Here is a 13,543-nt window from a genome sequence, read left to right on the forward strand (position 1 = left end):
TTTTAGACTATGTATACATTTTACATTCCAGACAGTATGTAGTTAAAATGCTAAAATGCTGCGTGCACAAAGCTTATGCTCAGGCCTGATAGCTTGGAGCTGTCAACATAAACAATACTGTGTAAGGTGGTGTTTTAAAGAAATGGCATTACTTTTTGCTATTGTGGAAAAATAGACATAACATGAAATTTACTACTGAACTATTTTTAGTGTACCGTTCACTGGTGTTAAGGACATTCACAATATTGTACAACCACCTCCCCCATCCAGCCACAGAACTTTTTCTAGTAGACCAGCCCTACAAGTAATACTAAAAGGAGTTCTAAAGCTTGAAACAAAAGGTCTATAGGCACCAGAATAGAACCTCCTGAAAACATAACAGTCACAGGGCCTATAAAATAATAACATCATGAAGAAAACTTAATATCTAGGTAACAGTCATCACGATGATTGGAAATGGACCTCACGTCTCAATATTAATGTTGAACATAAATGGTGTAACTGCTCCAGTTAAAAGTTACAGATTCACAGAATGGATGGAAAATCACAAACCAAACATCTGCTGTCTTCAAGAGAACTCTGCTAACATGTAAGGATTCTCATGGACTCAAGATAAAGGGATGGGAAAAGTGTGAAAATGGAAACCAGAAGCAAGCAGGAGTAGCTATTTTTCTATCATGGGCATTACTCTCTAAAGTCACAATTTCTACATGTGAGAGTGAATTACTGGTCAAAGGGAAAATTTTGCATGGCGAGGCAAGAATGAAAGGCAGACGTATGGCTCCCTTCAGTGCCATATTTCCCGTGTGGAGGAGAAGCCCATGACACAGAGGGTTTTGTGGTATATTCGAAGCCCTGCCATTCCTAATCCGGGGTGATTCTGGGGAAGCCCCTGCCTACTCTTAGCATATCTCCTATCTTTAAAATTACGGGATCAGGCTAAGGGATCTCCAAATATCTTCCAGTTTAAAATCTAAGATTCTATAAGTGGATGTCCCAGCAGAGCTCATCCTGCTCAAAGTTGGGTGTTCCAGTGTGCTTTGGACCCCAACACCACACCCAACATTGAGCCCCCGGGGGCCAGTTTTCATCATACGAGCAAATCCATCTCACTGCCCTCCAGCCACACTTTGTACTGCTCAGCAGGCCATATGGCTTAGTCTAATCACCCAGCCTTCTCTCCAGTCTTGCCCTTGACTAACTTTTGACTATTACAAAATGTTCACTCTCAAAAGACTCTTAATCACACAATCCAGGGGCCTGAAAGATGTAGGGACATGAGAGGCTTTCAATAAAGATGTGGAAAGCAAATGCTAGGGGTTGAAATGTTTAGAGATGTGACATCAATAGGGAAGATTCAGTAGAATGTTCCAACTCTGAAGACAGATGAATTGTGGTGTGTCAGCTAAGCCTGTGTTATTAAAAACAGCAAAAACCCTGGACACCCTCCAGAATCGCTGGCTTTGGGGGGAAGCATGCTTTGCTCATGCACCCCCTCCTCTGTTGGCTGGAAAGTGAGCTCTGTCACCTGTACTCAAAAACAACAAAGGTATTGGGTTCCCTCTGCCCTGGCTCTTTCTGGCCAAGGAATGTGGAAGGACAGGAGGAGAGGTGGACCTAGCATGTGGTCTGACATCCTGTGGATCATGTCAGAGTCCCATCAGCCACCTGGAAACAGCTCATCCTGCCAGTCAGGGAGAGCTGCCTCCAGTTGGAGGATGGGACAGTGCGCTGTCTTTGGGCAGCTCAGAAGTGTGTGTGATCAACTTGACTTCTCAGGTGAAGAAACAGCTCATCTCTTTCCTTTCTCTAAAAAATTTTGATCTGTTCATTTTATACCTTTGTTAATAACTTCTGTATATATGTGGTATAATTTTATTTTAAATTCTCCCTGAAATATTTTTGAAAGTAGGTTGAGCAAAAAGACAACACATATTCTGTTACCCAATGTAACGGCCTCCGTCGCTCGGACGCTTTGTAGACTGAGAAAGGTCGCGTGGATGGGGCTTTACTTTTCTTCTGACCCAGGAATTATTTGGAGCTGGTCACATTGTGTTGCTGTCTCGAGCCTCCCCTTTCCACTCATGTCACCCCTCTTCTCGGAACGCCTTCCCAAGGTCTTTCATTTCACTCCTGCTCATCCACACATCCCAAGCCTACGCTGCCTCCTCCAGCAACAGTGCCCACCCCGTGCGTGGGTCAGGGTCCCCTCTGAGTGCTCCTAAGCACGTGTCCTCCCTGCATTAGGACCCTGGGCGTGTCCGTCTCCCCCAGAGCACAACGGCTGTTCCTCGTGTCTCTTTTTTCCACATGCCTAAGACAGGTGCTTATCCAGGCCTTTGAGTCCAAAGCAGCTGGAGTAAGTCAACCTGACCCACAAGTGGGGGAGAAAGGGGTACTCATGAGCAGGGTCTGCATTTTCAATCCTTGTGTGTCTGAAAATCCCTCCCTGTCTCCCCCTCTCTCTCTGTCTCTGTCTTCCTCTTTCCATCTCTTTGTCTTTTTGTCTCTGTCTCCCTCTCACACACACACATGGGCCCACATGCCCTCTCCCTCTCCTGGTGCAGTGCAGGGGGACTCAGGAGTGGAGCATGGCCCCCAGCCAGGCAGCAGCAGGCTGGGCTCCCGGACGGCTGAGCCATGGCTCCTTCCCTGTGCCTCCCTTTTCTGGGCTCCCGGACGGCTGAGCCATGGCTCCTTCCCTGGCAGCAGCAGGCTGGGCTCCCGGACAGCTGAGCCATGGCTCCTTCCCTGTGCCTCCCTTTTCTGGGCTCCAGTGCAGCTCATCTCAGTGAGATTAATGGCACAGGAGATTTTCCCATTATCTTCCTTTGGGCCTGGAATTTTTCGTGAAATAACCTACGTATTTCTTCATTTCCTTCTGTGCTAAAATTTATTTGTCACAGCCTCAGCCATTAACCTCCAATTTGAACAGAAAAAAAAAATTATCATGCCTGCTGTCTCTAGAATTTCTCAGAAGTCAGAGGAACAGTGCCCAGCCTGAGCCCTTCCCCATTCTTTATAATACAAACAAACGATAATTAACATTTCGGAGCTGGGGCGAAGTGAATCCCAGAGTCTCCTTCTTCACTTATTAAACATTTTCTTTTTATTGGATATTGTTAGTATTTCTTTCTATCTGTTATTCTTATTGAGCAATATATTTAAAAAATAGTTTATTGTCTTCAGAAACAGATGTGCTGAGGTCCTAAAGCTGATTGATTTTCATGCAAAACAAGTATCAGGCTGCGGATACCTTGCACCGTATTGGAAAGAAAGGTTGCAGCCTTTCCCGGGGTCTCGGAGCCCACACGTGAAGGTGGCTCGCTGCCACCAGGGCTCCCTGCCGGGCAGAGGGGAATGGACTCGCCCTCGCTTCCTGGAATTCCAACAAAACTATGTGGAGGAGCAGGTGGTCCCTCAGGGCAGACACATCACCTCCCGAAACTGTATGGAGGAGCTGGTCTTCCCTCAGGGTCCCACAGGGCCCACACATCCCCTCCCACCTCTCCCCTTGCCAGTCATTCAGGTTACAGGCCTTTCACAAGAATTTAATTGTCTTGATCACATTATACTTGGGCTGGTAAACATTGTCTTATTAAGGGAAAAAATGCCATGTTCACATTAGAACCTCGGAGAAGCCAGATTGTGATTGGCACTCTCCGTCGTCGTCCACGAGTGACTGGTGAGGTTGTTTTGGTGTCTCCTGTTTGAGGCATTATTTTCCCCATTTTTCTGATGAGTCACTGAGACCATGTGTTGAAACACATTCTCACCGTCACGTTCTAAGTGTGATTGGTGATGGAGGTGCATTTCTCTCCTGCGATTTTGTGAGCTCTTTACAGCGAGGATGGTGTGGCGTCCCACCTGTGTCGTGGCATCACTGGGTCAATGTCGAATTGGAATTTTAAAATTAAGAGTACATAGGCTTTTTATTATCTGTTACCAAATGTTTAAAATATAAAGCCATCCCATTGAAATAATGTTGTATGTGTGAGAGAGTTAGATTATAAAAGCTTATTTTGGCTGGGTGTGGTGGTGCACACGTGTAATCCTGGCACTTTGGGAGGCTGAGACAGTAGGATTGCTTGAGCCTCGGAGGTGCAGGTTGCAGTGAGCTGAGATTGTGCTGTTGCATTCCAGCCTGGGCGACAGAGCAAGATCTTGTCTCAAAACAAAAAAAAACAAAACTTTTTTTTTTAAGTTACTAATTTTGTTATGTAGCAGTTGATGACTTGTATATTGGATATGATATAAATTAAGATTTTACAAGATATTTAAACTTCACTTGAGGAAAAAAGGAGCCATATAATCATTGTTAATAGAAGGGTGATATCGCTGAGCAGAAGGAAAGGAAATAATTTTAAAAGGCAAACAGCAAACAGGAAATCTACTACCACGGGCTCATGTTGCAGTGGGGACTGTGGGCTGTTCTCAAACTCGTCTCCTTGGGTGTCTGCGTGTTCTGGCCTCCCTTGCAGCAGACAGACATGGCGGCAAGAGTGAGTGCCAACCAGACTGAAAGCAGGAACCTGAAAACCCCGAATCCTCCATGCCGTCTCTTTCTTTCCATGGGATAGATACACACAGCACATTTGCATATTGAAGATGACAGAGCCTTAAAAACCGAGCTTCCTGGTGACCGTGGGCCCGGAGTCCCAGCGTGGCAGCTGCAGGCTCTGCCCTCCTTGGTGGCTCTGGAGTTCTCCCTGGGAAGCTTCTTCCGGCCGCCAGGAGGGGAGGGAAGCCAGGAAAGGCTGTGGGCCCCCAGCCACGTCAGCGGGAAGCACACTCTCTGTCCACCGTGATCTGCTGGAGCACCCCAGCCATCCTGCCCCACCGAAGTGGAAGGGGCTCTGGTCAGCCCCCGCTCCTGGAAACAGCTCTCCACAAAGGCAGGGGAACATGTGTCAAGGTAGGATTATGCCTATAAATCCCAAAGGGCTTTGAAGTGTTTCGTAAAAGCCAATTTGGATCCTTTAAAAACAAATAGAAGAAAACCCACTCCGGGCCCCAGTCTCTCTGTGGGCCCAAGGGCAGGTGACGCCGGGCAGGGGAGCTGTGGGGTGTGTCCCAGCCATCGTCCCCTCGTGACAGGGAAGTGGGAAGAGATGTTCTGTTTTGCTCACAGCAGAAGCCATCATTTACACACCTTCTCATGGCACCTGCCTGGGAATTGGAAACGATTTCAGGAGCCTTAATTAATGAAGCGTCACAACATGCCTGCAGGCTACGTGAGAGTTATTATCCTGGTTTTGCCAGGAGACAGCCGGATGCGGAGGAGTGCAACTCGGATTTGAAGGTCACCGAGCGCGTTAATGAAATCCCCGGAAGTGTGTCTGCCAACAATCCTTTTATTTTGGCTTTACCTGCTGTTCGCCTGATGCCTGTAAACCTTTCCCGAGTGTTGATTTTCAGAAGGGTGCTTTGCAGGGTGGAGTTGGGGTGGATGAAATGCGGCCCCCGGGTTTCTGACTCCCTTTCGTGGCGCAGGTGGGCTGAGACCCTTGATGACCGAGAGGTTAGAAATCAAGGACATAAATTCAGCACTCTTGTTGAATAGATATGACCCTTGTTCCATCTTGGGTTCTTTTCTAGAACCTCAATTATAACTTTATAAATAAATTCCGAGTGCCTTAAAGAGACTTTCAGCGTTCCTTTAATCTCCCTGGCACGCTGGCTGCATGTGCCTTGTAACTTCCAAAAACAAAATATGTCATGATTATCCAGATCCAAGGGAGGTGTTATCATTGGAGATTTCTTAGCCCTCATATTGTATGTGTGTCTCCAGGAAGCAGAGCCTTGGTGCTCGTGCTGATCTTTGTCGCTGCCTATCTTGCAGAGTGTGCGTTTTATTAAATTCTTTTTGGGATTCTATATGAATAAATATTTTTCTGGGGTAGCATAAAAGCTGTTTTCATGATCTGTGCAAAGTCTTACTGGACGTGGAATTTTGGCAAATCCTGGGAACAGAGAACACAGCCCTTTCCTCCCCACTTTACAAAGGAGGCACTTAAAGCGTCAAAGGCTCTTTGGGTTCGCTTGCGGGAAACGTGGTAAGTGAGTCCCTGAACGTGCCACTGATGTGCAGATGGTGTGGTGGGTGCACAGCCGCACCGGAGCGGCCCCCGAACCACACAGGACAGTGCTGCGGAGGGGATGTTTCATGCGGGGCTCAGAAAGGCCGGGCTGGAATCCTGAGTCTGTGTAGGCTGTGTGGCACTGGGGTGGGGTGGAGGTCATTCAATCCCAAGGTGGAGTTGAGCATCCCGGATAATGGGAACTGGAGACCTCAGGGCCTGTGCTAAGGAAGGAACTCAAGGAGCCGGAAATACCTCAGATTGTGCCTGGCACAGAGCAGGTTCCCAGCACAGAGCAGGTTCCCGGCAAGCGCTGTTCCTCTTCTCCCTCTTTGCTGCGTGGTTTTCGTGAAGTTGGGGAGAGGAAACGTTTTTACAGCAATGCGGCAAGAATGCAATCACAGCGATGAGAATGACATGGACCTCCAGGTAGTGAGTTATCCCCAGTCACCTGTGAAAGGCATGCATTTGTATCCACAAACAAATCTTAACACATGTAAACGTACGTCAGAAAAACATGTCTCCCCTGCTGTTTAGGATGAGAATGTTCTAGAGTCTAGAGGTTGTTGGCCATCTCTCTAAGAACCAGAGCTTCAGTGAGAGCTTTAAATCATGTATTTCATGTGGTGAGAAACGTGGCATGCGCGAACAGACACCACGCGAGACAGGGAGGAGAAAGGTGGCATGCGTGAACAGACACTACACGAGACAGGGAGGAGAAACGTGGCAGGCATGAACAGACACCACGTGAGACAGGGAGGAGAAACGTGGCAGGCATGAACAGACACCACGTGAGACAGGGAGGAGAAACGTGGCAGGCATGAACAGACACCACGTGAGACAGGGAGGAGAAACGTGGCAGGCGTGAACAGACACCACGTGAGACAGGGAGGAGAAACGTGGCAGGCGTGAACAGACACCACGTGAGACAGGGAGGAGAAACGTGGCAGGCGTGAACAGACACCATGTGAGACGGAGGAGAAACGTGGCAGGCGTGAACAGACACCACGTGAGACAGGGAGGAGAAACGTGGCAGGCGTGAACAGACACCACGTGAGACAGGGAGGAGAAACGTGGCAGGCATGAACAGACACCACGTGAGACAGGGAGGAGAAACGTGGCAGGCATGAACAGACACCACGTGAGACAGGGAGGAGAAACGTGGCAGGCGTGAACAGACACCACGTGAGACAGGGAGGAGAAACGTGGCAGGCGTCAACAGACACCACGTGAGACAGGGAGGAGAAACGTGGCAGGCGTGAACAGACACGTGAGACAGGGAGGAGAAACGTGGCAGGCGTCAACAGACACCACGTGAGACAGGGAGGAGAAACGTGGCAGGCGTCAACAGACACCACGTGAGACAGGGAGGAGAAACGTGGCATGCATGAACGGAGAAATGTGGCGTGCATGAACGGACACCACGCGAGATAGGGAGGATTCAGGATGTGATCTTATTTCAGCATCTTTATAAGTGATCAAGTAAAAGTCATATAATTGAAGTTATCTAAACCCCCCATACACCAAATGCGTCCGCTTCCTGGTCTGTCGTCCTGCAGCCTACAGAGGCCGCGTCCTTCCACATGATGGCCCCGCACCTGGCACTGTCGCCGTCCCTCAGTGGAGACACCAGGAAGCCCTGGATCACAGTGTGACACGTTCTGTACTGGGGTATAAATACGGTTTCATGGGGACACACAGGAGGGAGCTGAGTGTGCTCCTCTGGCCCCGGAGAGTGCTGAGAGGCAGCGTACCCTGCAGAAGAGTGGCAGTCGCTGAGCGTGGGGGACGGCTCAGTAGGTACCTCGGCCACAGTCCTGCCCGTCCACATGTCCTGCAGAAGCATGGCAGGCGCTGAGCGTGTGGGACGGCTCAGCAGGCACCTCGGCCATGGTAGATGCCGAGGGCCCCAGGACAAGCATGCATGCATGCCAGAGGGGAACTAGAATGTCAAAAGGGCAAGACAATCCCTTATAAAAACTTTAAACTAAAGACTTCTATTTGCAAAGATCGTCTTGAGAGGCAATATAACGCTGGCCGTGGCAGCTCATGAACAGGTGCTGGTAATTCGAATGTCCCAGCGAACTCCCATGGGCAATAACACAGGCCTGAGGCAGGAACGGGGGGAGAACCCGGGGGGAGAACCTCTTCCCAGGGCCAGGGTCGAGCTGCGGCATTCACGTCTGTCTCAGTGGCTCGTGCTGAATGACCCAAAGGGGCCCAAGGGAGCAAAGGTGGGCAAAGGCTGTTACTGCCATCCGTCTAGACCAGTGCTGCCAGCAGAGAATGTGAGCCTTGTGGGTAACTTTTAATTTGGATTACTGACATCTAAATGTGTATGGTACAAAGAAGCAGGCAATATTAAGTATGATTTTGACCAAATGCAAGATGGCATTTCAGGGGCTCAGAGTGGTGGTGGGTACTGTGCAGGGCGGCACAGCTCTGGGCTCCGCCATAGATGCCAGTCCTGACCGTCCACAGAGGCCCCCACCCGAGGCCACCCAGGGTGCCGCATGGATGGTCTGTCTGGCCTCCCTGGATTTTCCAGTGGTGTCTCCACCATACAAGGGAATAAACAAGTGTGAAATCTGGAAACAGATTCTCATGGCCCTTCTTTCACATGTGGATCTCATCTAATGTTTTTCCATAAAATTGTGATGATGTTTAATAATACTCTTTGTGATAATCTTAGGAATCTTAGGAATGCCAGGTTGCATGAGGTGAGCATAAACGCATAGGGAGGAACGGTCCATGCCAACTGCAACTCGGTTTTCAGAATTCACTCGCACCTTTGGCTCAGTAACTAGCAGATTCGTTCCTGCTGGGATATTCATTTTAAAAGCTTGTCTTCTGATGTTGGCTGCAAATTAGAAGCAATAATGCTATTCCCTATCTAATATTTTTAAATTATTTTTTTAAAGTACTGTGAGCTCCTCAGAATAAAACCAAATGATATCGTAATTATTATCATCTACAATCCCCCCTGGACTGCACTTTTAAAGGAGGTCAAGAATGGATCTGAAGCAACTTTCTTATGTAAGTAAAATTTGAAAATCAACCCAAATGACTTTGTCTTAATCTGCTGGAACTCCCACAACAAAACACCATAGACTAAGCGGCTTAAGCAACATAAATTAATTTTCTCACCGTTCTGGAGGCTGATCAAGGCGTGGGCAGACCTGGCTCCTGGGGAGGGCCTCTTCCTGGCCACCTGCTCACTGTGTCCTCAGGGAGACAGGCTGGTGTCTCTTCCTGAAAGACCCTGATCCATTCAGATCAGTGTCCCCCTCTCATTACCTCAGTTTACCTTCATTACATCCTCACTTCAAACACAGCCACACTGGGCATTGGGTTCAGCATATCGATTTGTCAGGGAAACAAAATTCAGCCCCTAGCAATGTTCAAAGCCAATAGCACCGTTATACGTGTGTGTCTGTGTGCAAAGTGTGCATATGTGTACAATGTGTAGATGCACTCACATATATATATACATACACATACACGTGGGCTGGCCCCTGGAGTGGGTACTTGGACCCTCCAGGGGACTGAGGGGAAGGGTAGGAAAGGGGCCCTGGACTGGATTTTACCAGATGCGTTTTCCCTCCCTACACTGGCGTTTGCACGGCTGAAACACGGCTCTGCCCTCCCCAGATGCATAACAGGAGGTGAATGCCATCTTGCCTCTGTGAAGCACCTGGGGGCGTAGAGCCATGCTTCGTACTTGTCAAGTACTGACCGTCCCTCCTGTCCCTGTTCAGTCCCGGCGCGAAGCACACCCTGTCGTGTGTGGGGTCAGCACCCAGCACAAATCGGAGTTGGAGGCGAGGGGGCCAGTTTTTGGTGAGAACCCAGAGTCCAGCTTTGAGGTTCACCTCCTTGACATCTAAGCTGCAGCTTCCTGGACGTCGGCCTAGGAGACGGGGATGGTGGCATCCCTCGTGTTTTCTGAGACTGCACCATGAACAGGACGGGCCTCACATCCAGGGACACAGCACAGGAACAGCGAGAGCGGCCCCTAAAACCACGGTGTGTGTGGCATGTTGCAGTTCTGTTCATTTTCCATGTATGATTTCATCCTTGTCTTATTATCTAAGCAAGTATTTCCAGCCAGTGAGGCCGCGTAGATAAACCCTACAGCCTGCTGCATGAACCGAGCTCAGCGTCCTCCCTGTGGCTCGGTGTCCACTCTGTGCTCATCTGGTGGGGCTCACCACCCTCACATGCGGAACGCGTCCCTGTCTGGCCCCACGTGGCTTCCAGCTCCTGGCTGTGCGGCCTCTGCAGCTGAGTAACAGAACTGTCTGCCCCCCGCCCTCTGGCCATGGAAGAGGCCATGCCATTTCTCATAGGCAGCGTGGCTGTGTCCCATGGTTAGCCAAGTCCTTCTGGCTCCGCCAGTGCTGTGGATCCTCTGAGTTTGAGGTCCTTCTCCCATCGATACCTGACGTGGGAGCTGGACCTGAGCCCTCCTGCAGGACCCTGTCCTGACAGCACCACGTCCCACCCTTCCATGGAAGCTGCTGTCTCCTCCATGAGAGGCCTCTGCCTGGGCATCATGCTCGAGCTCCGGGGCCTAGGAGGCATGGAAAAGCTCATCTCTGCTGCAAGTTCTGCTCTCAACAGCAACTGATGGGCTTTGAGATTTAGAACACTCTCCAACCTCCACTTTTTTTTTTTCTTAATGAAGTTTTTTTTGAAGATGATCAGCTCAAGATAGGTCTGAGGTTCATGCTGGACATCAAGTGTGTGACACGAACACTTTCACTCTTTTTCTTGCTGTCACAATCTTGATGGTCCCGATCCTGCCTGTGCATGGGCGTCCCTGCCTGATGGACTCTGGGAGAGGGTAGAGGATAAGGAAGGGCCCAACATAAGCTTCACGTTTTACAAATAAACAAGTTGGAGATGATTCCAGGTTGGGATGAGTCCTGCAGAGGATGTCAGGAGGCCTCTGATGTTTGAAGGAGGCTCTGGGCTTGTTCTCGCCACAGCACCCCTCCCCTTCCCACGGCAGCAGAGCCACGGCCGGCTCCATTTCCTCATGCCTCCAGGAAGGGCTGTGACCACAGCAGAGGCAGCGCGGGAGGCCCCCTCAACACAACACGACATTTGCCGCAAGGGTTCTGCCAAGGTCCCAGGGAGGGGGGAGGAAGGACAGAAGTTCTAGGAGAGTAGTATGCACGGCCATTAAAATAATCTTTGGTAATTAAGTCAGGTGTCGTGATGAATTACTAACAACTAGGCATTCTGTTCTTAAACTCTTTTCCAACCTGTGTGTGCTGGGGGAAAAGGGTGCCTGTAGCTGGGAAGGGAAAGGGAAGCAGAAGCTCTATAAGTTCCTGAGCCTTGCTCCATACCTGGGACGGGACTCGGCATTTTCTGTGAGTTCCCGAGCTCTGCTCCATACCTGGGACCGGACTCGGAATTTTCTGTGAGTTCCCGAGCTCTGCTCCATACCTGGGACCGGACTCAGCATTTTCTGTGAGTTCCCGAGCTCTGCTCCACACCTGGGACCGGACTCGGAATTTTCTGTGAGTTCCCGAGCTCTGCTCCACACCTGGGACCGGACTCGGAATTTTCTGTGAGTTCCCGAGCTCTGCTCCATACCTGGGACCGGACTCAGCATTTTCTGTGAGTTCCCGAGCTCTGCTCCACACCTGGGACCGGACTCGGAATTTTCTGTGAGTTCCGGAGCTCTGCTTCATACCTGGGACTGGACTCGGAAGTTTCTGTGAATTCTCGAGCTCTGCTCCATACCCGGGACTGGACTCAGTATTTTATGTGAGTTCCCGAGCTCTGCTCCATACCTGGGACCGGACTCGGTATTTTCTGTAGGTTCCCGAGCCCTGCTCCATACCCGGGACTGGACTCAGCATTTTACGTGAGTCCTCTATTTAGTCATCAGATCGTCCTATGAGAATTGTGATATGACCCCAGTTACGGGTAACGGGCAGTGAGGTCGAAGGGAAGGGCTCTTGCCCCGCCTGGGGACCATGGAGCGACCTTGCCCAGAGCTTGGCTCTTCCCCTCGCCCCAGGAGGCCCACGCCTGACGGCGCCGCTGGAGTCGATTCTTTCCTGCTGTTCACAGCGCTTAGGTACTTTCCAAAACGTCTGGCTGTAACTCGCCTCCTTCTGCCGTGCTTTTGGTAGATTCAGTAAAACATGCACGTCCTTGGAGATTCCATCGCCGCAGGAGTCATTCCTTAGCTGTCGGCTGCAGGCTGTGAGGATGGGCCTTCGTAAGGACACAGATGGTTGGATGTTCCTGGACTCCACCTCGCAGGGGAGCGAGCGTCCTTGGAAGAGGAAAAAGCCAATGAATAAAAAGGAGGAAGGGGTGGGGCGCGGTGGCTCACGCCTGTAATCCCAGCACTTTGGAAGGCCGAGGCGGGTGGATCACAAGGTCAGGAGCTCAAGACCATCCTGGCTAACACGGTGAAACCCCGTCTCTACTAAAAATACAAAAAACTAGCCGGGCGTGGTGGCGGGCGCCTGTAGTCCCAGCTACTCGGGAGGCTGAGGCAGGAGAATCGTTTGAACCCGGGAGGCGGAGCTTGCACAGAGCCGAGATCGCGCCACCGCACTCCAGCCTGGGCGACAGAGCGAGACTCCGTCTCAAAAACAAAAAAAAAAAAAAAAAAAAAAAAAGGAAGGAGAAGAGGAGTGTTTTCCTCCAAGATTTCCCATGGGTGGGAAGGAGCTTCGACCTGGAAATAAGATCTCAGCTTCGCAGACCCTGCTGGGCTGTGCGCTGCGCTGGTCTTATCCATTAGGTTTAATGCGTTATTTATTTTATTTTTAAAGGTGTAACTCTCTCTTAACGGAGAATCAGTAGAAAGTCCTCCATCCATGCCTCTGAACACACTCCTAACTCCCCAACACTCAGGAGCCCGCAGGAAGCCCTAAGGCCCAGGGTCTCCTTGGGAGGCACGGGTGCTTCCTCCCAGGCATTTTCTCCTCTGGTCTCTGGGGTTTTGCTTCTCATAGGGGCTAAATTAATCCTGCATCCGGTGCTCGTCCAGCCCTGCGCTGCGCTGAGGAGAAGGCGGGACTCCCGGGAGGCACCCTGCAGGTCTGGATGGCCTGCCTCTGGCCAGAGCCTGGGAGGTGGAGGGAGATGGGATTTTGAGGCCATTCACCTCCCTCGTAAATGGAGCCGCTGATGCACTCTCACAGAAGGGAAGAGGTAATTTTTCCATTTGTGAGGAGAGTGCAGACCCTGGAAGGCTGCTTAGCCACTCAGCCTTTTCCAGACAGCTCATTTCTCAGACTGCAAAGGTCAGCAGCAGAATTGGGGGAGAGGGGTTTTACTGCATTCTTCAGGGCAGAGGCCATTTTAATATTCATGAAATTGCAAGTGAAGCCACTGGAATGTTCCATGGGAGCAGGCCAGCGTGTCCTTGAAAGGAACTGAGAGCTGACAGCTTTTGTGTCCACGCTGGACTCTTCCTGTAGGAGCCC

The 13,543-nt window shown here is 50.4% G+C and overlaps 1 protein-coding gene and 1 long non-coding RNA gene across 2 annotated transcripts in view, besides 2 other annotated features; one reads left to right on the plus strand and one right to left on the minus strand.

Annotated features, from left to right (window-relative positions):
• The window catches only part of DLGAP2 (DLG associated protein 2), a 970,849-nt gene that overhangs the window by 553,070 nt on the left and 404,236 nt on the right, over positions 1-13,543 (plus strand). The gene's annotated exons all lie outside the window — the stretch shown is intronic.
• Positions 1,429-1,723: a silencer, noted in NCBI's record as "tiled region #9258; HepG2 Repressive non-DNase unmatched - State 21:Repr, and K562 Repressive non-DNase unmatched - State 22:ReprW". NCBI's record gives its function as "represses a minimal TATA promoter and a strong SV40 promoter by Sharpr-MPRA in HepG2 and K562 cells {active_cell/tissue: HepG2 | K562}" and the evidence as "EXISTENCE:reporter gene assay evidence [ECO:0000049][PMID:27701403]".
• Positions 5,337-11,910, minus strand: LOC286083 (uncharacterized). Its single transcript, NR_111948.1, has 3 exons — positions 9,228-11,910; positions 6,336-6,531; positions 5,337-5,506 (listed from the first exon to the last, which is right to left on the minus strand). It is a non-coding gene; the product is annotated as an uncharacterized LOC286083 (long non-coding RNA).
• Positions 7,314-8,164: an enhancer, noted in NCBI's record as "H3K4me1 hESC enhancer chr8:1246267-1247120 (GRCh37/hg19 assembly coordinates)". NCBI's record gives its function as "activates a minimal SCP1, AML or CMV promoter by ChIP-STARR-seq in naive H9 embryonic stem cells {active_cell/tissue: H9 hESC(naive)}" and the evidence as "EXISTENCE:reporter gene assay evidence [ECO:0000049][PMID:30033119]".

Source organism: Homo sapiens, chromosome 8, assembly GCF_000001405.40.
Source record: "Homo sapiens chromosome 8, GRCh38.p14 Primary Assembly".
In the NCBI taxonomy this organism is placed as follows: Eukaryota; Metazoa; Chordata; class Mammalia; order Primates; family Hominidae; genus Homo; species Homo sapiens.